The sequence below is a fragment of the Homo sapiens genome, chromosome 11 (genome assembly GCF_000001405.40).
Source record: "Homo sapiens chromosome 11, GRCh38.p14 Primary Assembly".
In the NCBI taxonomy this organism is placed as follows: Eukaryota; Metazoa; Chordata; class Mammalia; order Primates; family Hominidae; genus Homo; species Homo sapiens.
In genome coordinates, this window is record NC_000011.10 from 6850941 (window position 1) to 6875914 (window position 24974).

Genomic DNA, 24974 nt, shown 5'->3' on the forward strand with positions numbered 1-24974 from the left:
ACTTTAAGTTTTAGGGTACATGTGCATAATGTGCAGGTTAGTTACATATGTATACATGTGCCATGCTGGTGCGCTGCACCCACTAACTCGTCATCTAGCATTAGGTATATCTCCCAATGCTATCCCTCCCCCATCCCCCCACCCCACAACAGTCCCCAGAGTGTGATGTTCCCCTTCCTGTGTCCATGTGTTCTCATTGTTCAATTCCCACCTATGAGTGAGAATATGCGGTGTTTGGTTTTTTGTTCTTGCGATAGTTTACTGAGAATGATGATTTCCAATTTCATCCATGTCCCTACAAAGGACATGAACTCATCATTCTTTATGGCTGCATAGTGTTCCATGGTGTATATGTGCCACATTTTCTTAATCCAGTCTATCATTGTTGGACATTTGGGTTGGTTCCAAGTCTTTGCTATTGTGAATAATGCCGCAATAAACATACGTGTGCATGTGTCTTTATAGCAGCATGATTTATAGTCCTTTGGGTATATACCCAGTAATGGGATGTGAAACTGCCATTTATAAAACCATTACATCTCATGAGAACCCCCTCACTATCACAAGAATAGCATTGGGGAAACTGCCCCCATGATCCAGTCACCTCCCACCAGGTCTCTCCCTCAACACCTGGGGATTACAATTCAAGATGAGATTTGGGTGGGGACATGAAGTCTAATCATATCATTTCATCGAAGCCCCTCCCAAATCTTATGTCCTTACATTTCAAAACCAATCATGCCTTCCCAACAGCCCCCCAAAGTCTTAACTGATTTCAGCATTAACTCAAAAGTCCAAGTCCAAAGTCTCATTTGAGACAAGGTAAGTCCCTTCTGCCAATGAACCTGTAAAATCAAAAGCAAGTTATTTACCCACAATGGGATATAGGCATTGTATAAATGCTTCCATTCCAAATGGAAGAAATTGGCCAAAACAAATGGCTACAGGCCCCATGCAAGTCTGAAGTCCAGTGGTGGGGGCAGCCATTAAATCTTAAAGCTCCATTAAATCTTAAAGCAGGTGAGAGAGAGAGCATGTGTCAGTGTAGGAAAAACTACCATTTATAAAACCATCAGATCTCATGAGCATTCATTCACTACCACAAGAACAGCGTTGAGGAAACTGCCCCCATAATCCAATCACTTCCCACCAGGTCACAACCTTAAACACCTGGGGATGACAATTCAAGGTGAGATTTGGGTGAGGACACAAAGCCTAACCATATCAAATAGGTATCCATTGAAACATTTTGATTCAAGAGGGTGATTTTTAAAAATGATGGTAGCTGGCTGGGCGCAGTGGCTCACACCTGTAATCCCAGCACTTTGGGAGGCCGAGGTGGGCGGATAATGAGGTCAGGAGATTGAGACCATCTGGCTAACACAGTGAAACCCCATCTCTATTAAAAATACAAAAATTAGCCAGGCGTGGTGATGGGTGCCTGTAGTCCCAGCTACTTGGGAGGCTGAGGCAGGAGAATGGTGTGAACCCAGGATGTGGAGCTTGCAGTGAGCCGAGATCGCGCCACTGCACTCCAGCCTGGGCAACAGAGCAAGACTCTGTCTCAAAAAAAAAAAAAATGATGGTAGCTGCTGGGTAGAACATGTACTGTAAGTTGTAAGAGTAGAAAGAGGGAGACTGGTATAGTTGTGATTTATTTTTGGATAGTAACAATAAAGGTGAGAGTTCGGATTCAGAATGTATTTGAAATATGAGATTGACAAGACTTGGTAAGATATATTGCAGTGGTAATTGATGAAGAAGATGGTTTCAAGGACTATAACCATATTTCTGGCATAAGCAACAAAATAGATGGGAGTCCTCATTTTTAAGATGAGAAACGACGGAGAAAGAGCATATCTTGTGGTAGGGGCATGGCAGGGACAAAATGATAGGGAATTCAGTTTCCATTTTACCAGAAAGGTCAGTTTTATGTAGGTACATGAATGCCACTATGTTTAGTCTACCAAAGTAGATACTTGAAGACAAGGTATAACCACTGAAATAGATACTGAGAAAAAAAATTGAGTTTTACATAATAATACACTAATATAAAAGTAAAATTTGGTTTATTTGGTGCCAAAAATCATACAAGAAGCATAGCCAAACAGGAAATGGGGTTTGGCTTTCTTTGTGCTATATTTGTATAAATATGTTGTTGGTATGTGTTCCAAAATCATGTGAAACTCCTGTAAGTCTGATATATCTTAGTATTCATTATCAGTAATAATTATAATTATGCTAAATTATTGTGTGCCACAGAGGTAACAGATTTCCTTGTCAATTGTGTCCTTAACTATGGCTACCCTAAACCATTTTGTCATCCATAAACAATTGTTATCTTGTTTTGGTCCTTTTTAGAAGGTGGTTTTATAATCAGCTGTAAAGCTTTAACAGGTGCTCTTGAATGCAGGTTTCTGATAAATTTGGAGATTGTGACATCAGAATAGAGGTAAAAACGTTCAGGACTATTAAAGAGCTAAAATTTTCATTAATATCAAGCAGGACAGGATGAACTGCATAAATTGAACTAATAGGAGACTGAAGTGATCTTTTTGACTTTTTGCTTAAAATGTTGCTAATCCTTTATTTTGCTTTTCAGAGTCAAGGGAACTTTTCTTTTTAGCTATTAACAGCTTTTAACAATTACGTAAATTATACTCCTATGAGCAAAATTTGGAGCATTTTTGTTTCTCTCTATCTGATTTCTCCAGAATTTGAAAACTATTTGTGAGTATTCTTAATTTATGGCAATATAGATATTTGCATAAGTGCAATAAGAATCTGTTTTCTTTTGTTACAGGACACAATTGGAGAAACTGGTTATTTTACCAAGGCTTTGACTGGAATAGTATGCTCTCCTTTAAGGAATCAAACTTCACTTATGGAGCCAATAAAGCCCTTGGAACTGGCTTCATAATTTGTGTACACAGTCACTATACAGGGTTTCTGGTCTGTGGTAAGTAAAGAATGTCACTTTCTGACAGGCCAGGAACTCCAAGTTATCTTAGAACCTCAAGAGGAGAGGAATTCACCTAACTCATAGATATTTGATGGTACAAGTTCATAGCTGGGCTTGGCTTTAAAAAGGTCTTATCTCAGATTCCTTCTATGGAGCAAAGTTTCATCAAAGCCAATTTAAAAGGACTATGTGAAAAATAATTATTCTTGCTGCACTGTATACAAATAATTAGACCAAGTATAAGAAAACAAATCAGTCCTACCATGATTTGTCTTTCAGTAAAAATGAGAAACTGGAGAAAAATTATGTTTCAAAAACTATAGTATAGCTGTTGTTAAATTCTAGTCCTGCCTGATGTTTTTCAATTTTTATTATTTTGTACAGTTTGGATTAAATTCTAACTTTTCTGGCTACAAGTCTCCGAAATAATGTTTTCAGTTTTTTCCTCTTTCTTTTCCATTTTCCCCATTTTTCCTAATTGGAATTCAGTGAAACTAAGCTGTGCTTTCTTAAAGCCCTGTCAACTGAAGACTAGGCAGCTTAAACTTCAGAAGAAAACAGCAGCAACCTATTTATATATGTTACTGTTGCATACTATTATGTTTAAGCAGGCACTGCCTCCAAGCCCCCAAAACAGAGAGTGCTACTGGGAACAAATCGACTTCTTCCACTCCAGCACTGCATTCGGTGCCCCATAATGATGGCCCCCTCTCAGCAAGAAGTAGCCAGAAAGATTATGATGCCCCATCTCCCTGTGATTCTTGTGATAAGTAAATATACAAGCATGATAGGAATCATGTGCAAATTGACAGTGGGGATTGTGGCAGGCCAGCTCTCACTAACGCAGGCCTCCATAACAACTGTTTCAGCACTGACTGAGTGGTTAAATATGAAAAGCCAGTGCCCTTATACAAAGGCTGGAATGTAAAAAAAGAAAAAAAAAAAAAAAGCTCACCAAGAGTTTTGCCTAGGCCTTAAAGAATAAAAAAATAACGAAGGAATTCTTAACAGGACCCATTTGGGATTAAGCAAGTTTTATTGTGAGTCTGAAGAAACTCCGCAGGCCTCCACAAAGAAGTTTATTTATTTATTTATTTTATTTATTTATTTATTTATTTATTTCGATACGGAGTCTGGCTCTTTTGCCCAGACTGGAGTGCAGTGGCCCGATCTTGGCTCACTGCAAGCTCCGCCTCCTGGGTTCAAGTGATTCTCCTGCCTCAGCCTCCCCAGTAGCTGGGACTATGGGCATGTGCCACCATGCCCAGCTAATTTTTTGTATTTTTTTTTTATTAGAGACAGGGTTTCACTGTGTTAGTGAGGATGGTCTCAATCTGCTGACCTCACGATCTGCCCACCTCAGCCTCTCAAAGTGCTGGGATTACAGGTGTGAGTCACCACGCCTGGCCCACAAACAAGTTTATTAAGGGGTCTGAAGGAACTCCCAAACCTCTGGGATTTAGCAGGAGACAAGATAAGTGTAAGCACCCCAGCACCTGGACCCATTTAGATTAAGTAAATTTATTGAGGCTCCAGAAGAAGGTCTTCAGGACTCAGGCCTTAGTTATGGATTAAAAGAAGTTAATCATTAATGTCTTTAGATGAATGCACACTTACATGTAGACATATAGCTTAGAAGGTATATAAGCTCTGGAAAACTTTGTAATTTTGAGTTGGTTGGGCAATAATTTCCAGACCTTCCCCTTGTAACCGACTTCAGAAATAAAAACTCTCTTACTCCCCAGTTCATCTGCATCTTGTTACTGGGCCACGAGAAATAGCAGCCCGACCTTCAGTTTGGCCTGGGAACAGGAGGATTAGTTTGATGAGGTAAGTAAGCATCAGATCTTGAAAGTCCTCTATGCTGAAGTGTTTGAATGCTATCTTGTGAACTATGTAAATCAATTTAAGCGTTTTCAGCATGAAAAAACAATCAGATATGTATTTTGGAAAAATTACTTTGGCAGTTGTATGGCAAATGGGCCATAAGGGGACACAGGCTATAAGACAGAGACCAGAGACTTCTGTAAATGAGCAGTTAAGAGATATGAGACCAAAACTCAGTGCAAGGAAACCCTCTTCTTAATCTTCAGAAATTGAAGTCCCTATCAAAATAGGACAGCAGAGCAGACATGCTACCAGCTCAGAGGAAAATCACTGCTGTTCTGGACCACATCTACTCCCGTCTACCTGCAGGCCAGCAGGACTTGAGCTGCAAAGGTGGCTGCTTGCCAAGATGAGTTTATTTGAAGCTATGGCTCTGCAGCCTGAGTCATTAGTCCTCCCTCCCATATCTGATCCTTTCTATTCACTTAAGCTTTCCTTCCAGGCCCCAAGATAGACCACTGGGAACCTCAGTAGACTGTGCTCCCTGAACAACAGAGTGCCTCATTAGCTACTTTTTAATGAGGTCACAGCCTGTGACTGCTCATTAACAGACTGGCTAGTCAGCATCCCCAGGGGTAGGGGAGACTGAAGACAGAAGTCAGTGATTACAGAGCCTAAGTGTAGCTGTGTTAGAGGGAGAAGGAACTTAGCAGAGACTCTGAGGCTTTTACTCTGAGGTCTCCAGGGTCACTTCCAGCTCTCAGAGACTATGATTCTGGAGAACATATTGAGGGACCAGGGCCTTTTTGGGAGGAAGTGACAACAGAGTCAAGTGATCCCAGGCTTGTAACAGCTGTTGGTCTAGAGAGATTGTTTAGGAAGTCAAATGCTCTTCAAGTTCTCTTGGATGCTTACGGAAACGGAATATTGCTTTTGCAACCTTTTGTCATCTTGCCTTCCATAACCATGGATTTTCTTGCTATTCCCTGTACATGATTAAGTGCAGATTGTTTGGATTATTTTCCAAGTATTTTTAAACTGATCCTGGGAGTTAATTTATTGGCCCTCTTCTATACTCCCTGTTTACTGTCTCCTAGACATCCCGTTCATTCACAGGATTCCAACCTATCACTCCTCTGGAGATGAAACTTGGGCATCGACTTATATCTCCCACTAGGATTAGTGCTACAGCCTCCTAATTGTATTCCCTGCCTCCAGTCATGCTGCAGATTTACACATATACCTCATTCCCATTCAGCCCTTAGTCTCCCCAGAGTTCTTTCTAAACACACGTGGCAATCTGTCTTAATCATGTTTAAATTCCTTATGAATCACCCTCATAATCAGAATGAAACCATCGTACTTAGCATGTCATACAAACCTTATATTCCAGTTCTAGTTTCTCTTTCAAATTTCAGTTCTTACCATACTCCCATCCATACATTTGAATGGGGTATGATGAAAATAGTGCATCATACTGAACTATTTTCTTTTCCCTTATACCATGCATTTTTAATTTCTCTAAATGTGCTTTTTTGTTTCTCTCAAAAATTTGGAGTCTAAAAAGCCTTAGTTCAAATTGTGTGTCTGCTACTTACCAGATATGAAAATCACTCTGTTTCTCTCCTATTTCCTCTTCTGTGAATTGAGTGATAATATCTTGTGGATTTAATGCAAAGATGAAATGAGAATAATGAAACCTACTGTGAAGATATTAAGAGGCCAGCCATTCTGTGACAGCAGAGGTAACAGGTGGGCTAATCAAATGATATTAGCCAACAACTAACACCTGTGGAACTTTATGACTTTTATCTATTCTTTGTTATTTTTTACATTTAAAGTAATATATCAGTTATGTAAAATTCCCAATAGGTATTTGCTATTATTCATAACACGAGTAAATTATTAGGTTCCCTCCTTTTCCCAGTGAACAGAGTAAAGAGAGGAAGTAATATGTTAAATATGAGCTACATGTTTGTCAATAAAGTGTTATTTACTCCTCACAGGTATTAACAAGAAGTATATAATATGGCCAAGTAACAAGTAATGGGTGTCAAAGTTTGGGTTTGAATCTAAGTCTATCTGATTCCAAAATATCATGTTTAAGATAACATATTTAATCTCTAAAATATAAAGAAAGAATCTAAGAGTCTAGAAAGATATTTGGAAGTAAAGGAATGTAATATGGACAGCCAAGAGGCTTCAGGAGGGTTATAAGAGAGAGGAAAAAAACCTTTGAGGCCAATAGACATAAATGGATGACATATCACCATATTGTAACCTATTTCTTTGGGGTAATTGAAAGAAATGAATAGTTATTTTTTATTCTCTAATGCAAGCTCTTTATTCTCTAAATCAAGCTACTTGGAAAAGAGTACGTCTTCAACAGAAGGTAGACATTATTATTAAATCTTTATATCTTTACTCAATTCCTCTGCCTGCTATTCTTGCCTATCACCCCATACTCACCATACCAAGTTAATCCCTACATATTATTTAAGATTCAACTCTAGTGTTTTCTCTCCTATGAATCTCTCCCTGATTCCTCTAGGCAAGTCTGAGTTTGCTCTCCTTTGTACACATGTGATATCTTGTATATATAATTGTTAAGCATTGAAGACATTGAAATTGTCTCTTCATAAGCATAGAGGATACAGTAAGAGCAGTTCATCATTCTTGTTTGTATTTCTGACACCTAGTCCAGTGCCTGGCATATAGTAAGTACTCAGTAAATGACTGAAGAAATGCATAGTCCCCAAGTTGTTTCTCTAGCCTTGGCCTGTTCCATTCTCACTGAAAAGTGAAAATTGTCTCTGAGACATTTCTGCCTAGGTGTCAAGGCACATGTCAGACAACAACAAGCTCTCAGACAAAATTTTCTCCCATTCTCTAAATCATGAAAGAAAAATGTCTTATTACATATTTATTGCTTTTACCCCACTTTTCATTGACATATTCTTTCATTTAATCAGTGAATATTCATACTGAATCCTGAAGGTACAACAATGAACAAGGTGCATCCCTCTAAGAGCTCCTGGCTCCTTAAGTGAGAAAACGTAAATACACAGATACAGACAAAAAGACAGTGCCATGGAAAAGGCTTTACTGTATTATAATTTTGCATTGATAAGTGCTATCAAAGAAGTGTTCGATCAGTCTCCTAATCCTATTAATTCCTCCTTGGCAACATCTTCTTACTCAAACCTTGGTTAAATACCCATTTTCACTGCCACTGTCATGAGTCTAGCCAGTGGATCTTCTCAGAGAAACTTCTGCCTGGGCATCCAGGCATTTCCATACATCTTCTGAAATCTAGGCAGAGGTTCCCAAACCTCAATTCTTGGTTTCTGTGCGCTCGCAGGCTCAACACCACGTGGAAGCTGCCAAGGCTTAGAGCCTGCACCCTCTGAAACCACGACCCAAGCTCTAGGTTGGCCCCTTTCAGCCATGGCTGGAGTGGCTAGGATGCAGGGCACCAAGTTCCTAGGCTGCACACAGCATGGGGACCCTGGATCCAGCCCATGAAAACATTTTCTTCTAGGCCTGTGATGGGAGGGGTTGCCATGAAGCCCTCTTACATGCCCTGGAGACATTTTCCCCATTGTCTTCTGGATTAACATTCGGCTCCTCGTTACTTATGCAAATTTCTGCAGCCAGCTTGAATTTCTCCTCAGAAAATGGGTTTTTCTTTTCTATCACATTGTCAGGCTGCAAATTTTCTGAACTTTGCAGTTCCAATTTTCTAAACTTTGCAAGGATGCTCTGCTTCCCTTATAAAACTGAATGCTTTTAACAGCACCCAAGTCACATCTTGAATGCTTTGCTGCTTGGAAATTTCTTCCGCCAGATACCCTAAATCATCTCTCTCAAGTTCAAAGTTCCACAAATCTCTAGGCCAGGGGCAAAATGCCACCAGTCTCTTTGCTAAAACATAACAAGAGTCACTTTTGCTCCAGTTCCCAACAAGTTCCTCATCTCCATCTGAGACCACCTCAGCCTGGACTTTATTGTTCATATCACTATCAGCATTTTTGTCAAGGTCATTCAACAAGTCTCTAGGAAGTTCCAAAGTTTCCCACATTTTCCTGCCTTCTTCCGATCCCTCCAAACTGTTTCAACCTCTGCCTGTTACCCAGTTCGAAGTCACTTCCATATTTTCAGGTATTTTTCAGCAATGCTGAGCTATACTGGTGCAAATTTACTGTATTAGTTCATGTTCACACCGCTGATAAAGACATTCCTGAGACTGGGCAATATACAAAAGAAAGAGGTTTAATTGGACTTACAATTCCACATGGCTGGAGAAGCCTCACAATCAGGCAGAAGGCAAGGAAGAGCAAGTCACGTCTTACGTGGATAGCAGCAGGCAAAGAGAGAGAGCTTGTGCAGGGGAATTCCTCTTTTTAAAACCATCGGATCTCATGAGAGTAATTCGCTATCACAAGAACAGCATGGGAAAGAACTTGCCCCCATGATTCAATTACCTCCTACTGGGTTCCTCCCACAACATGTGGGAATTCAAGATGAGATTTGGGCAGGACACAGCCAAACCATATCAGTTACTCTTTTCTCCCCTTTTCATACTGTACTCTTTGTAAAGAGGTCACCATGATAAGCCCACACTCAAAAGGTAGGGAGTAATGTTCCACCTCCTTATGGGCAAAGTAACTACATAAATTATGTTGAATTCTTCCAGACAGACTTGTTGACTCTTCCTCATTTATTTCTTTACTTAATCATTTATTTACATCATATATACTCATAAACATTTATTTTATATGTTGGCTTATAAACCAATACTACCTTATTTGTTGCTCAAATATTCCGGCTTTGGCTACTGGGAGCTCTTCATTTGGTTTCTGTGTTCCTTTGACAAACCCAATAATGTGGGGTTTTTTTTTTTTCATCACTTTCTTACTTTCTGCATTACAAGAGTCTCCAGGATCATCTTGCATATTTCCTAACTCAGTCCTAGAATCAGCCATTTCTCCAGGGAACATGAGTTCCTTCTAATGGAAGACTGTATTAGAAAGAAATATTTGGGTGTTAGGTGTCCATATTAAGTTTTTACATAAATATTAATGCATATCCCCAGTTACATTGTATTCCATTGTAATCTACGGAAAATCTGCAAGTTTTGAATCAGTCTCCTATTAATGAAATCAAGATTTTTTTTTTACATTATTTTGCAAGTAAAATGTGCTGCATTAGCAAAAGTATGAACAGAGTAAACAGACATCCTATAGAATGGAAGAAAATATTTGGAAATTAGGCATCTGATAAAGGTCTAATATCCGGCATCTATAAGGAATGTAAACAAATTTATGAGTAAAAACCAAAGAACTCCATTAAAAAGTGGGCAAAGAATATGAACAGACACTTTTCAAGAGAAGACATATATGCAGCCCAAAAGCACATGAGAAAAAAGCTCAATATCATTAGAGAAATGCAAATCAAAACCACAATGAGATATCATCTTACACCAGTCAGAATGGCCATTATTAAAAAGTCAAAAATTAACAGATGCTGGCAAGGTTATGGAGAAAAGGGCATGCTTATACGCTGTTAACAGGAGCGTAAATCAGTTCAACTATTGTGGAAAGCAGAGTGACAATTCCTCAAAGAGCTAAAAACAGAACTACCATTTGACCTAGTAATCCCATTACTGGTTATATACCCAAAGGAGTACAAATCAGTCTACCACAAAGACACATGCATAAGTATGTTCATTACAACACTATTCACAATAGTAAAGACATTGCATCAACTTAAATGCCCATCACTGGCAGATTGGATAAAGAAAATGTGTTACATATATACCATGGAATATTATGCAGTCATAAAAAAAGAACAAGATCATGTCCTTTGCAAGAAAATGGATGGAGCTGGAGACCATTATCCTTAGAAAACTAATGCAGGAACAGAAAACCATATACCATATATTCTCATTTACAAGTGGGACCCAAATGATGAGAACATATGGATACAAAGACAGGAACAACAGACACACTGGGGCCTACTTGAGAGTGGAAGGTGGAAGGAGGGAGAGAATCAGGAAAAAATAACTAATGAATACTAAGCTTAGTACTTGGGTGACAAAATAATCTGTACGGAAACCTCCCATGACATATACCCTTGAATTTAAAAGTTTTTTAAACAATGGTGCTACATTTAAAAAATAATATCGGCCGGGCGCGGTGGCTCACGCTTGTAATCTCAGCACTTTAGGAAGCTGAGGCAGGCGGATCACAAGGTCAGGAGATCGAGACCATCCTGGCCAACATGGTGAAACCCCATCTCTACTAAAAATACAAAAATAAGCTGGGTGTGGTGGTGTGTGCCTGTAATCCCAGCTACTTGAGAGGCTGAGGCAGGGGAATCGCTTGAACCAGGGAGTTGGAGGTTGCAGTAAGTGGAGATCATGCCACTGCACTCCAGCCTGGTGACAAAGTGAGACTCCGTCTCAAAAAAAAAAAAAAAGAGAGATAATTTTTCCTTTCTCCAAAATGACTAGCTTTTAAAAGCATGGATCAATTTAATATCATTTTATCTCTATCTTGTATTGTTCACTAGCTATTTCAAAATTAGGTAGCCTCAATTCATCTGAACACCCAAGAGACTGGGGATGATGTCTCCTACATTTTCCTTAACAATGACCAGAATAGGACCAAATAACAACAGCAAAAATTCTTACGCCAAAGTCTACATGTCTGCGTCCCACTTTCCGTGCAGTTTCCTATTTCTTCCTTCTGGATTCAATAACAGCTATATTAGTCATATGTTCTTAGTTGTTATCTTATAATTTATCTAATTGTAGTTCACATTTCCCCATTAAAAGGTAAGCTTTATGAATACAGGAACCAAACCTGTTTTTGTTTTACTTCCATAACCTAATGCTTAGGAGAGTATTTGACATTTAGTAGATACTTAATGAACAATTATTCAGCGTGCAATAGGTTTAACTAATATAAGCCATTTAATTTCATCATAACACTAACTCTGTAAAATAAGAACATTTGTTGTCTTTAAGAAATGTGGAAATCAAAGCTCAGCGAGTTTAACAAAATTGCTAAGCATTATGAGCCAGAGTTCCAGTGCTGAGATTAAATTTAGGTTGCTCTGACTTCAAATTCTTATAGTGCTTCTCTACACAATGCTGCTTCCCCTAGCCTGGAGTTTGGTTTTTCTTTCTTGAATTTTATCCTGTTGGCATCTGAAATTCATTATATTCTCAAAGGATGGTAGATTCAAACAAGACCAGGTCCCCTGAGGAAAGGAAGGAAAAGCCTATAAACAGCTGGGAAAAAATACAGGTCTCATCCCTTCGACTAGCCCCAAGAACAAAAGAGGCACAGGTGGGAACAACTCTCCCAAAACCAGGACTGGGAGCATGGCCAAACTTCATAGTGAGCTTACTTGCCTCTGACACACAAGGCAGCAGTGAGCTGGCTACAGCTCCAGCCATTAATAGCTCAGCCAGGACAGGGAATAAGACTTCCCTGGTTCTTCTTTTGGCTTTGCTGAAACAGAAATAGAGCTGTTATATTACATGCATGAAGGACATGCATGAAGCATGGATGTCAGCCAGAGTTGAACAAGGCAGATGTTCCTGTTGGACACAGGTAAGCCTTTTTTTTTTTTTTTTTTTTTTTTTTCCACCAAGGACTGAATCTACCAGAGGCCACTCTCCAAGTTCAGTTACTCAGCTGCACAAAATATGATCAGAGTTTGGATACCTAATTCTATTCTTATGTTCACACTGGGAGATCTCATCAGTTCCTCTCTCCTTGGGCATCAGTTTACTCTATGTCATAAGAAAAGTGAGATCTGGGCTCACAAAAAGACTGATATTACCCAGGCTTTTTCCAATTCTGTCCTCTAAAGTTTTCTGAGTCAGGAAGCTTCCAGGCCCTACAACCTTCACAGGACATATACCCCCTTCAGGTCTTGATTTTCGTCTAAGTAACACAAAAAAGACTTGCCTCAGTGGAACATTTATGAGATGGAGAACATCAGGGCAAACTACTACTTTACAACAATTCTACAGTCAGAGAAGGCCTAGAAGAGTGGGTTCCAGGTCCTGGGACAGTCAGGTGATTAGCAAAGGGATGTTCCTAGGGAAGTTCTAGAGCAAGTTTGTCCAACCTGTGGCCCATGGGCCACATGCGGCCCAAGATGGCTTTGAATGTGGCCCAACATAAATTCATAAACTTTGTTAAAACATTATAAGATTTTTTTCCTTTCTTTTTTGCTTATAAGCTATCATTAGTGTTAGTGCATTTTACGCGTGACCAAGAAATTTTTCTACTTCCAATGTGGCCAGGGAAGCCAAAAGATTGGACACCCCTGTTCTAGAGGAACTGGCAAGAACGCTGTGGGCTGGCCATGAGCTGCCACCTTCTGCAATGCCTCTCCCACACTGGAGACGGGGCACTAGCTTTTCTTCCCCAGTAGTTTTCAGAAGTTCTGTGGAAATCCCAGCAAGTGTTTCTGCCCCTCCTTCTCCCCAGTCTTCTCCGCCAGCACCACATACAACACATCTGTCATGAGGCTTCTAGTTAAAGTGCGGTTCTAACAAAAAAAAAAGAACAGTCATTGAGAAAAAAAAATTCTAATAGTGAATAAAAACTCCAAGAAGAATGAACTTTGTAGAACTCATGTAATCCTTTATACAATCAGCTGTCCAAAAACATGTATGAATAGCTTACTTGGTAAAAACACTGGGCTTCTTCTTATAAAGATGACTAAGACAGTTTATACTATGGAGAAGTTTAAAGAGTGACATATATATTGGTAGTAGAAATATCTGAATAATTAAAAACATTTTTAAAGGATAGAGGAAAATAGAGAAGATGACTAATCCTATCTGGAAGTATCACATGACAGACAGAGCTGAGTTTTGAGGATTTGAAGGAGTCAGCCAGACAGAGGAGGGGATGTGCAGGCAGAAATGATGTCACATGAAAAGGCAGAGGCAAGCAAAAAGAACTCTGTTCAGTAAATAGTAAGAAGCTCAGCAGTGAAGCAGAAGAAGGAGAGATGGATGTGGGAGACCAAAGATGACATTTCGGGTGTAGCTTAAGTTCATTTCATATGGCTTGTTGAAAACCCCAATTTTTTAATTATAAATTTTTCTGTTTTAAGTTCAGGCTCTGCCATTTATTTTCCATATAATTACAAAATTTCTTATATATATAAATATATATTTATACTCATAAATATGTATTCTCATATATAAATATATATATTGTAAGATGAACATATATGTATATATAAATATATATTAAATATATATTTATATATAAATGAACATTTATGTTCATCTTAAAATGAATATATATTTCTATATATGATAATATATATGAATAAAAATATATATTTATATATTTTCATATAATTACAAAATTTCTTATATATAAATATATATTTATATATACTTATCTAGATATATATTTATATATTTAGAAAATTTGGAAATCCAGAAAAATAAAAATAATAAATCCCCTCCTTTTACCACTTGAAATAGGTCACTTTTACATTTTGCATATAGCCTTTCAGTCTTTTTATATAGCATATATTTTTAAAATTGTAAATGTATCACAAGTGTGCAGGCTGTGTTATTTTTCATTTAATATTATATGGTGATTATTATATGACAGCATTAAATGTTCTTCAAAAATGACTTTAAAGATTACAGGGTATTTCCTTAAATACATGCTTCATAATTGAGCCATTCATTCTGTTAATTATAATTTTCAATTTATAACTATAATAGTCAGCACTGAACAAACAATTGGCTATGCTTACTAAATATTCACACTGATTCAATAATTCTGACCCACAAATATACAAAGATTTCATTGAAATATGACTGGGAAATTTCTATTTTTCAGAGACAATTTTTAAATAAATTAAGAAGATAATTGTCTTTTATTATTTTAAAAAATGTGTTCAAAGCTTATTGCAACTCTATATTTAGCAGATTTAAAAAAATCATTAGCAATTCTTTTTATCAGTTTTTTATGTGAGTAAATATGGAGTTTTACAGGAGACATAATCATTTCTGTCAACAAAATCATGTAATGATGAAAGTATTTGCAAACATCCAAATGACCCTCCATAGCAGAGGATTCCATTGCTAGGAAAATCTCCCACCTTGGTCTTTTATATCCAGACCTGCTTCCCTCTTGTCCCCACCCTCTCGTTAGTCACTGGCAATCACTAATCTCTTTTCCATTCCTATAATTTTGTCATTACAGAAATGTTATGTAAGTGGAATAATAAAATATGTGTCTGTTTTATTCACTCAGAATTATCTGTAAATTCATTCATGTTATTGCATGTATCAATAGTTCATCCTCTCTATTGCTGAGTTTACTAAGGTATAAATGCATCATAATTTGTTTCATCATCTGGGTTTTTAACAATTTGAGGCTATTATGAATACAGCACTGAGGAATATTCATGTTTTTATATGAACATAGTCTTCATTTCTCAGGGATAAATACCCAAAGGTACAATTACTGGTTGTACCACAGTTACATGCTTAGTTTTTTTAAAGAACTGTCAAACTGTTTTCTGCAGTGGCTATACCAAGCTTGTCCAACCCTGCGGGCTGCATGCAGACCAGGACGGCTTTGCATGTGGCCCAACACAAATTTGTAAACTTTCTTAAACCTTTATGAGATTTCTTTTTTTTTAATTTTAGCTTATCAGCCAATTCTTCTTCCCATGTGGCCCAGGGAAGCCAAAAGATTGAACATCTCTGATACTATTTACATTTTCATGAGCAATGTATGAATGATCCAATTCATCAAATCCTCACCAGCATTTGGTGTTGTCACTTTTTTTTTAACCCATTCTTATATGTGTGTAGTGATATATCATTGGGGTCTTTATAAGCATATATGCATTTCCCTAATGGTGAATACTTTATTTTTTTGTTTGGTTGTGGTTTATAGGGGGTATTTTTGTTTTGTTTTATTTTGTTTTAATCATTTTCCAGTTTGGTTACTTATCAGAACTTTTCTCTATTTTCAGAATTAAAAAAAAATCTTTCAGTAAAATAAAAACATGTTTGTGTGAATATATTAAAATTTTCTTTCATACTTAGGGATTCTTTTGGTTCAAAAAGTCATCTCTTCCATTAGATCAGAGACATTTATTCTTCCTCTGGTACTTCTTTGGATATTATTTCTACCCCTCTCCATTCTTTCTGTCATTCTGGAATACCTGTTATAGTGATTTTATTTCTTGTATTTTACTTCATTATTCCTCTTATAATTGTTATGTTTTCATAATTTTTCCCAGTAACTTGGGTGTAATTTTTCAAATTTGTATTCTAATTGACTCAGTTTTCTTAAGTTTCTGGCATTTTGCTCCACAAGGTTTAACTTCAATAATCATGGCTTTGTTTTGTCCCCCAGGTGGTCTTTTCTGGCCCCACACTGTCATTTTCATGAGTACTTATTCAATATTCTATATTATTATTATTATTATTAAGACAGAGTCTCCTTCTGTCACCCAGGCTAGAATGCAGCGGTGCAGTCTTGGCTCACTGCAACCTCTGCCTCCCCAGTTCATGCAATTCTCGTGCCTCAGCCTCCCAAGTAGCTGAGATTACAGCCATGTGCCACCACGGCCAGCTAATTTTTGTATTTTTAGTAGAGAGGGTGTTTCAGCATGTTGGCCAGGCTGTTTTCAAACTCCTGGCCTCAAGTGATCCTCCTGCCTTGGCCTCCCAAAGTGCTGGGATTACAGGCATGAGCCACCGTGCCTGGCCTCGATATTCAATATTTTATAGGGCTTTGTTGAGAGTAAGTAATAAAGACAATTTAATGTCTTTCAACTTCCTTTCAGACTCTTGTTTTTGAAAAGGGAAACAATTGATTTGATATCTTGAATTTCATCTCATTAACCTAAAGTGTTTTGTCTTCATATCTCCCATAACCTTTTCTGTTTACTTATGGGCTGGCTTGCCTTGGAATGACAGTAAGAGAGTTTCTATTTTTTACTTTACTTTTTTTTTCTTTTTTGTTGAGACTGAGTCTCACTCTGTCACCCAGGCTGGAGTGCAGTGGCACAATCACAGCTCAATGTAGCCTCAACCTCCCGAGCTCTGGTGATCCTCCCACCTCAGCCTCCTGAGTAGCTAGGACAACAGGCATATGCCACCACAACTGGATATTTTCTCCATTTTTTGTAGAGATGGGGTTTCGCCACCTTGCTGAGGCTGGTCTCAAACTCCTAGGCTCAAGTGATCCACCTGCCTCAGGCTCCCAAAGTCCTGGGATTACAGGCATCAGCCACCACGCCTGGCCTACAGTGAAAGAGTTTCTAGTTGAGATGATCTGTCTTTTCATCATTGGTTCTTTTATTATTTTTTAAACTTACATTTGTTTTTCTGAAACCGAGCTAAAAACTGTAGACATTGCTTCATTTAATGTTTAGCATTTCTGAGAAATCTTAGATCAGTTTGATTATAATTCTTTTATAAGAATGGTGTTTTTTCCTTCATAGATTCTCTGGAATTTTAAACATAACCTTGAAGTTCAAATTATTCACCAAGACCTGACTAATATTTAGCCTCTTTTAAATAAGTTGTCTGCTGCTTGAAAATGGATTGTGCGTAAAGACGGAGGGTAATTATAGATATACCACCTAGTCTTCTTGATCCGAGGCCTACAGCTTTTGATCCCTTCTCTATCCCATTCTATCAACAATGTCAGAGTGATCCTTCTAAGTAGCATTATGACAATGTCACTCTGCAGCTTCAAATATTCAGGTGAATCTCCTCATCTATAAAATAAAGTCCAAAATTCTCAGCATGTAATATAAGTCTATTAATGTAATATATCCAAAACACTGACCATATCTTTGTTTATCTTTTACTTTGTGTCAGTTCTGGTTTTTACTGTTCCTAATAAAGTTTTTAATTTTTATTATTAATTTTTTTTAACCAGAGTTTGCTAACCACATTCATTTCTTTTTTTATTTATCCCAGCCTCTCAATTTCATTTTCCAGCTTAATATCACCATTTCTCCACTAGACTTCAATATTCTAGATTACGAATACAATAAGAAGAGCCTCTAGATAACCAACTGCAAATTAGAAACCAGTAATACAAAATTGGGATTCAGTTGTGTCTAGGAAATCTCCTAAACATCTTAATGCTAATGATGTTGGTTCTCGTGCTTATCTTTGTCTGTCTTCACTGTGATTTTGCAGAAATGCCAATTCTAATTCTCCTACAAATTAATAAGTTAGTCATCAGATAAGGCATGACAGTCCAACAAAGCATGATTTAGTAAAAATCTGAAGGGTTTTGTAATCCAATAGATGTGGTTTGGATTCAAGATCTTCCATGTGATTTGTGTTTCTTAAATTATCTGGGATCAGTTTCCTCATGTATAAACCAGAGATATAAAAGAACAAAAACATGCATATGTAAATGGTCCTCAATACATGCTAACCTTTCACCCTCCTCTCAAATTCTAGCCAGTCAAGAAAGGTTCATGAAGAGTAGAAAACATATTATATGCATTCTTCATGATAGTTATAAATATATTTCTAAAGTTTTGATAAATTTAAATGTATGTGTTCTTTTACGAGATTATAAACACTTGGTGTGTTTCATAAGTTTAAGTGTTTTCAGAAACATCACTTTCTCCCAAAATGTATCCTTTGATGGACCCTTCAGAAACTTGTGATTCTGACTTTGCATGCCCTTTCTGAATAACTTAAGGTGTGAACAGAAATATCAGCTCCTCTAGAAGCTGATTCAGGCCCATCTCAGAGATTAGGCTCTGGCTACTATTTATTGTGTTTTATTCTTAGACAACCCAAGGCACTTCCTCTGCCTGAGGTGCTGACCTTGCCTCTTTCCCTGACAGTAAGAACGAGTCTGAAAAACAAATTGAGAATCTGACTTCCAATCAATAATCTTTCTCCATGACCACAGTTGGGGACTTCTGCCCACACTTATAGCTACAGGAAACTGGACAAGAATAAGTGAGTTTATCCTCATGAGCTTCTCTTCCCTGCCTACTGAAATACAGTCATTACTCTTTCTGACATTTCTAACCATCTACCTGGTCACCCTGATGGGAAACTGCCTCATCATTCTGGTTACCCTAGCTGACCCCATGCTACACAGCCCCATGTACTTCTTCCTCAGAAACTTATCTTTCCTGGAGATTGGCTTCAACCTAGTCATTGTGCCCAAAATGCTGGGGACCCTGCTTGCCCAGGACACAACCATCTCCTTCCTTGGCTGTGCCACTCAGATGTATTTCTTCTTCTTCTTTGGAGTGGCTGAATGCTTCCTCCTGGCTACCATGGCATATGACCGCTATGTGGCCATCTGCAGTCCCTTGCACTACCCAGTCATCATGAACCAAAGGACTCGTGCCAAACTGGCTGCTGCCTCCTGGTTCCCAGGCTTTCCTGTAGCTACTGTGCAGACCACATGGCTCTTCAGTTTTCCATTCTGTGGCACCAACAAGGTGAACCACTTCTTCTGTGACAGCCCACCTGTGCTGAGGCTGGTCTGTGCAGACACAGCACTCTTTGAGATCTACGCCATCGTCGGAACCATTCTGGTGGTCATGATCCCCTGCTTGCTGATCTTGTGTTCCTATACTCACATTGCTGCTGCCATCCTCAAGATCCCATCAGCTAAAGGGAAGAATAAAGCCTTTTCTACATGTTCCTCACACCTCCTTGTTGTCTCTCTTTTCTATATATCATTAAGCCTCACCTACTTCCGGCCTAAATCAAATAATTCACCTGAGGGCAAGAAGCTGCTATCATTGTCCTACACTGTTATGACTCCCATGTTGAACCCCATTATCTACAGCCTGAGAAATAACGAGGTGAAGAATGCCCTCAGCAGGACGGTCTCTAAGGCCCTAGCCCTCAGAAACTGTATCCCATAGACCTTAGGAAGTAAGGCTACATTTTACTGGATGAGAAACAATCAGTCCCAGATTTGAGATTCCTCTCTGCATCTTTCCACATCTCCAATAAGATGAAGTCCTGTTGCTGAAATGGCTTTTGGAAAGCTGAGTGGAGAGAAAGGAGCAGAGAAGTAGTTTCGACCTAGCACCACCAACTATGAAAACTCCTCTGCCTGCCCATTGTAGACTTACATTGTTTTCCTTGTTTCAACTGGTATGACAGCACTTCTGTGGCCAACTATTTCCAGGTGTTATATTTCTTTTTTTTTTTTTTTTTGAGACGGAGTCTCGCTCTGTCCCCCAGGCTGGAGTGCAGTGGCGCATCTCTGCTCACTGCAAGCTCCGCCTCCTGGGTTCACGCTGTTCTCCTGCCTCAGCCTCCCAAGTAGCTGGGACTACAGGTGCCCGCCACCATGCCCGGCTAATTTTTTGTATTTTTTTAGTAGAGACAGGGTTTCACCGTGTTAGCCAGGATGGTCTCGATCTCCTGACCTCGTGATCCACCCGCCTCGGCCTCCCAAAGTGCTGGGATTACAGGCGTGAGCCACCGCGCCTGGCCGGTGTTTATATTTCTGTGTGACGTGCATTGTGCACAATATGAAACTGCTAGTCATTATAACATGGGGGCACACATAGTAACAGAGGGTAAAACCCAATAAAAATCATCTTGTCACTTTTCCTCTTCTGGGCAGATCTGACTCTACATTCATGACAGAAAATCTCATGATCTTTCCCAACACATAACTCTCCTCACCATCTTACTTCATTCTCATGCCCTTAAGCAGTGTTAGTTCTTTTAAGCTTACTGGTATGCAGTATGCATGTATGAGAGTAGATCAAAAGTTCACATGCATATGCCTTTATAACCCCAATAATTATTTCCTTCACACTAGATTCTTCCCAAGAAAAACAACCTGAGCTTCCCTAAGATCTCTATTCCATATTCAGGTTCTTATGTTTTGTTGAAGTAATATCGTAAATTTCAGTCATAGCTTTGCTTTGATGAGAACAAAGCTCCAGAATAAGTCTTCTTTAACCACAAGATTTCTCCTTCTTATAATCTGGTAGTACTCTATTTGTAGATGTGCCCTAATTTATTTAGCCAGTCTTTTACTACTACAAATCATGCTGTAAATAATGGACTTATCCATATATCTGTTTTTATATTTTTGCTAGTGTACCTGACAAATAGAAATCTAGAAATTGAGTTTCTTGGGCAAAAGTTAAATACATACATAATGTTGCTATATATATTGATTGTCTATCTAGCTCCCCTCTGAACTTATTGCACCATTTTATGCTCCCACCAGCAATTTATGAGGTGTTTGTTTCCCCACAACTCAACAATAACATTTCTCATGAAATATTTAGAATTTCGATTATTTAATATTTTATAAAAACTCAATGAAATTTTAATTTGAATGAAATAAATTTTGAAGAATAAGAAAGAAACAGATGATCAAATCAGAGGAAAGGTGTGCATTTCATTGAAACTTGAGTTATAGATTAGACGATTAGCAATTGGTGATGTCTTGGTGTTTTATTTTCTCTTCTTGAAAGGTTGTTTTTCACTTTTATTTTAGCCAAATCTATCCCATCTCTCAAGACCCCACTGTGATTCCTCAAGAAGCAGAAATCACTCTTTCTGTATGCACCCATTTCAAGTTTATTAATAAATACATTAAATTTTGTATATACTACATGTAGAAACTGTACATGTACTTATTTTTACATGTTTGTCTTCCTCCAACTTTTCTGTAACTCTTCAAAAATAAGAATTGTTCAAGTGTTTCTGGTGTTTTGTTTTGTGTTTGAGACAGGGTCTCTCTCTCTGTCACCCAGGCTGGACTGCGGTAGCAGAATTATGGCTCACTGTAGCCTCAAACACCTGGGCTCAGGCCATCTTCCTGCCTCAGTCTCCCTAGTGGCTGGGACTATAGGCGTACATCACCATGCCTGGCCATTTAAAAATTTTTTTTTAGTAGAGACGAGGTCTTGCTATGCTACCCAGTCTGGTATCGAACTTCTGAGTTCAAGCAATCCTTCTGCCTGAACCTCTCAAAGTGCTGGGATTATAAGTGTGAGCCATTGCATGCAACACAAGTGTTTCTCTTTTCTTTTCTTTCTTTCTTTTTTTTTTTTTTTTTGAGACAAAGGTCTGCTCTATTACTCAGGCTGCTGGGGTGCAATGGCACAATCTTGGCTCACTGCAACTTCTGCCTTCTGGGTTCAATCAATTCTCATGCCTCAGCCTCTTGAGTAGCTGGGATTACAGGCGTGCCAAGCCATGCCCAACTAATTTTTTTTTTGTATTTTTTAGTAGAGATGCAGTTTTACCATGTTGGAGCTCCTGGCCTCAAGTGATCTGCCTGCCTCAGCCTCCCAAGGGCTGGGATTACAGACGTGGGCCACCATGCCAGGCCAAGTATTTCCCTTTTAATATGACGTAGGCATTCCTGAAAAGCTTATGTAATGCAAACCTTTACATTAAAAATATTATGGGGAAGTAGGGCTAGGGTTAGGGCTAGACTCAAAATACATGCAACTTTAAAGACAAGGCATTAGTAGAAACAACATTTGGTTCCCAGAGAGACAATGTAGACTGCCCAGGCAGGCAGCTCATTGAGGCTGGAGGTTGCCACAGTAGATATTTAAAATATACAACAACAGTAGAATGAAAATACCAACAATGCTTGGATTAGAACAATGATGCTTGATGCTGAGACAATTTGTACTGGGGTAGGGGGTAGTCCTTAGTATGGGTAAAGAATTTGAAGTAAAGCAAACAAGAATAACCCAAAACCTAAAGAAAAAGTTGTACATAGTTTCAGGGAAAGGATTCCAACAGAAGAGTGCCACATGCACAAACACAGGAGTGCTGAGAGACTATGATGTGTGTAAGGAACACAAAGCATTTTTGTGTCACTGAAAAATCAGCTACACTGGGGATTTGAAACTGGAAAAATAAGCAGAGATCACAGGAAAAGACCTTGTTAAAGGATTTACTTTATCCCAGGGGCCATACGGAGTAATTGAAAGACATTAAGCAGGTAAGTGACTTAACCAGAGTTGCTGGTTAAGACAGCAACTGGTAAGACAGTTGCTGATAAGACAGATCACATACAAACCAAGGATGGTTTGAAGAGAATGAACCAGAAGCAGGTTCCTACCATACTCTAGGCCAGAGAAAATAAATCCAGAACCTAAAGGCAGTGGTGGTAGAGCTGGAGAAGGTGACACTGAATTAGTGTTTAGGAGTAAAAATAATCAAATTTGGGGCACAAATTAAAGGATTATATCCCAGTTCCTGGCTTGTACTTTGGGGTGGTGCCATTTACTGAAATGGGGTATCTACAAAGAGGAGGTTTGAGGTGGAGGAAGCAGACAAGCACATTTATATCTCTTATCATTGTTTCAGTCCGTGTGAATTGTATGATGCTATATTATATTCTTTTGTGCCTTTGTCTAAATTCCTTATGAATGGGGCTCACTGTACCTACTTTGTGTCTGTGTAGATGTTTCCCTGATTATTTACCACATTTTCTTCATTATCTATTAAATTATTCAATAACAATTTACTGGGCATCTACCTTTCTAGGCATTGGGGTAAAAAAATGAATAACACAATTTCTATTTCAAGGAGCATGTCATCTACTGTATGAGACAAATACATACAATAATGATTATTCTAAAATAAGAACTATGAAAGTGGTATTCCAGTTCTCCAATGTTACTAATATATTGAAATTTTCTGCCCATCTTTAGAAATTGTGTTGCTTTGTTCTTACTACCACCCTGTACTGGATACTGGCTTGTCCTCACCTGTGGGCTCAGATTTATTCCCATTCTGAAAAAATGAGTGCAAGTGTCACTTGTCGGCCAAATCCCTGACTTGGACTCAGCCACCCAGGATTCCAACACTTGCTGAAAAAACTACTCAACTTATCTGTGTCTCAGATTCCTTGACTGTAAAATGGGTATAATACTATCTGTATCTTCAGGTGTTGTGAGAATCAAATAAGATAATACATGCAAAACACTTAGAACGGTGTGTGGTGCTTATTTGCTGCTTCATAAATGCTCATTCTTACTATGAAAGTAGATGAGGTATCAAGGATGTTTTCATAAAAGAAGTGATTCCTTGGTTGAATTGTTTTAAATGAATATGAATCAGCAAAAAAATTAAAATAGCATTTTCTCATTTTTTTCTCTTTACCGCCCTCTTTCCTTCACCAACCTAAATTCACTTCTTGCACCTGCTCAGAACTTTACTCAAATATCATATTCTCAGTGGAGCTTTCCCTGACACTTTCCACCTCTAAATGTTTGTCTCCTTCTCTACTACTTTATTCTTCTCCATTGCTCTTATATACCATACTTTCTACTAACATAATTAATTAATTAATTAATTTTTGAGTGGAATTTTGCTCTTGTTGCCCATGCTGGAGTGCAATGGTGTGATCTCGGCTCACCGCAACTTCCGCCTCCCGTGTTCCAGCGATTCTCCTGCCTCAGCCTCCTGAGTAGCTGGGATTACAGGCATGCACCACCACGCCGAGCTAATTTTGTATTTTTAGTAGAGACAGGGTTTCTCTATGTTGGTCAGGCTGGTCTTGAACTCCCGATCTCAGGTGATCAGCCAGCCTCCACCTCCCAAAGAGCTGTGATTACAGGCGTGAGCCTCCGTGCCTGGCTTAACAGAATTTGTTTATAACCTGTCTTCCCTATGATGAGTTTTATGAGGGCAGAGATTTTTGCTTGTTTTATTTACTAATGTATTATCTTCAGTATCTAAAACAGAGCATAGCATACAGAATTATCTTCTGATAATCAATATTTACTGAATTAATTATTTTATTTTAGAGATTGAATAGTAGGGGCTATAGTGAGTTTTGGCAATGAGCTGGATAAGAAGATTTAGAAGATAGGTCTAGCATTATATCAATAATTATAATGGTTAACATTCATGGAACATGTACAGTATAGCAGACAACATGCTAAGTGCTTCAGATTTTATTCCTCCATATGTTTATAGTCATCACAAAGAATTTCAGGGTCCCAATTTTGAAGCTTCGTTATTAATGCAATGATGAAATCTTTTGTTTCCTTTTCATGGGATTTCATATTAGTCACACTTGCATATTTAAGTTGTATTTTATTAACATGTAAAATGTGAGCTTCAAGTTTCTTGAGAGTCAAGACACAAGTCAACCAAGAGAGCTGATGA

The 24974-nt window shown here is 38.4% G+C and overlaps 1 protein-coding gene across 1 annotated transcript; it reads left to right on the top strand.

Annotated features, from left to right (window-relative positions):
• Positions 1–12116: 12116 nt before the first annotated feature.
• OR10A2 (olfactory receptor family 10 subfamily A member 2) lies at positions 12117–23777 on the top strand. Its single transcript, NM_001004460.2, has 2 exons — positions 12117–12411; positions 18683–23777. Exon 2 carries the CDS (start codon positions 18815–18817, stop codon positions 19724–19726), a length of 912 nt encoding a protein of 303 aa, NP_001004460.1. The 5' UTR covers positions 12117–12411; positions 18683–18814; the 3' UTR covers positions 19727–23777.
• The last annotated feature ends 1197 nt before the right edge of the window (positions 23778–24974 follow it).

What these genes read in the sequence shown, in the direction of transcription:
- OR10A2 (NM_001004460.2), top strand. Translation starts at nt 18,815, where the DNA reads ATGAGCTTCTCTTCCCTGCCTACTGAAATACAGTCATTACTCTTTCTG.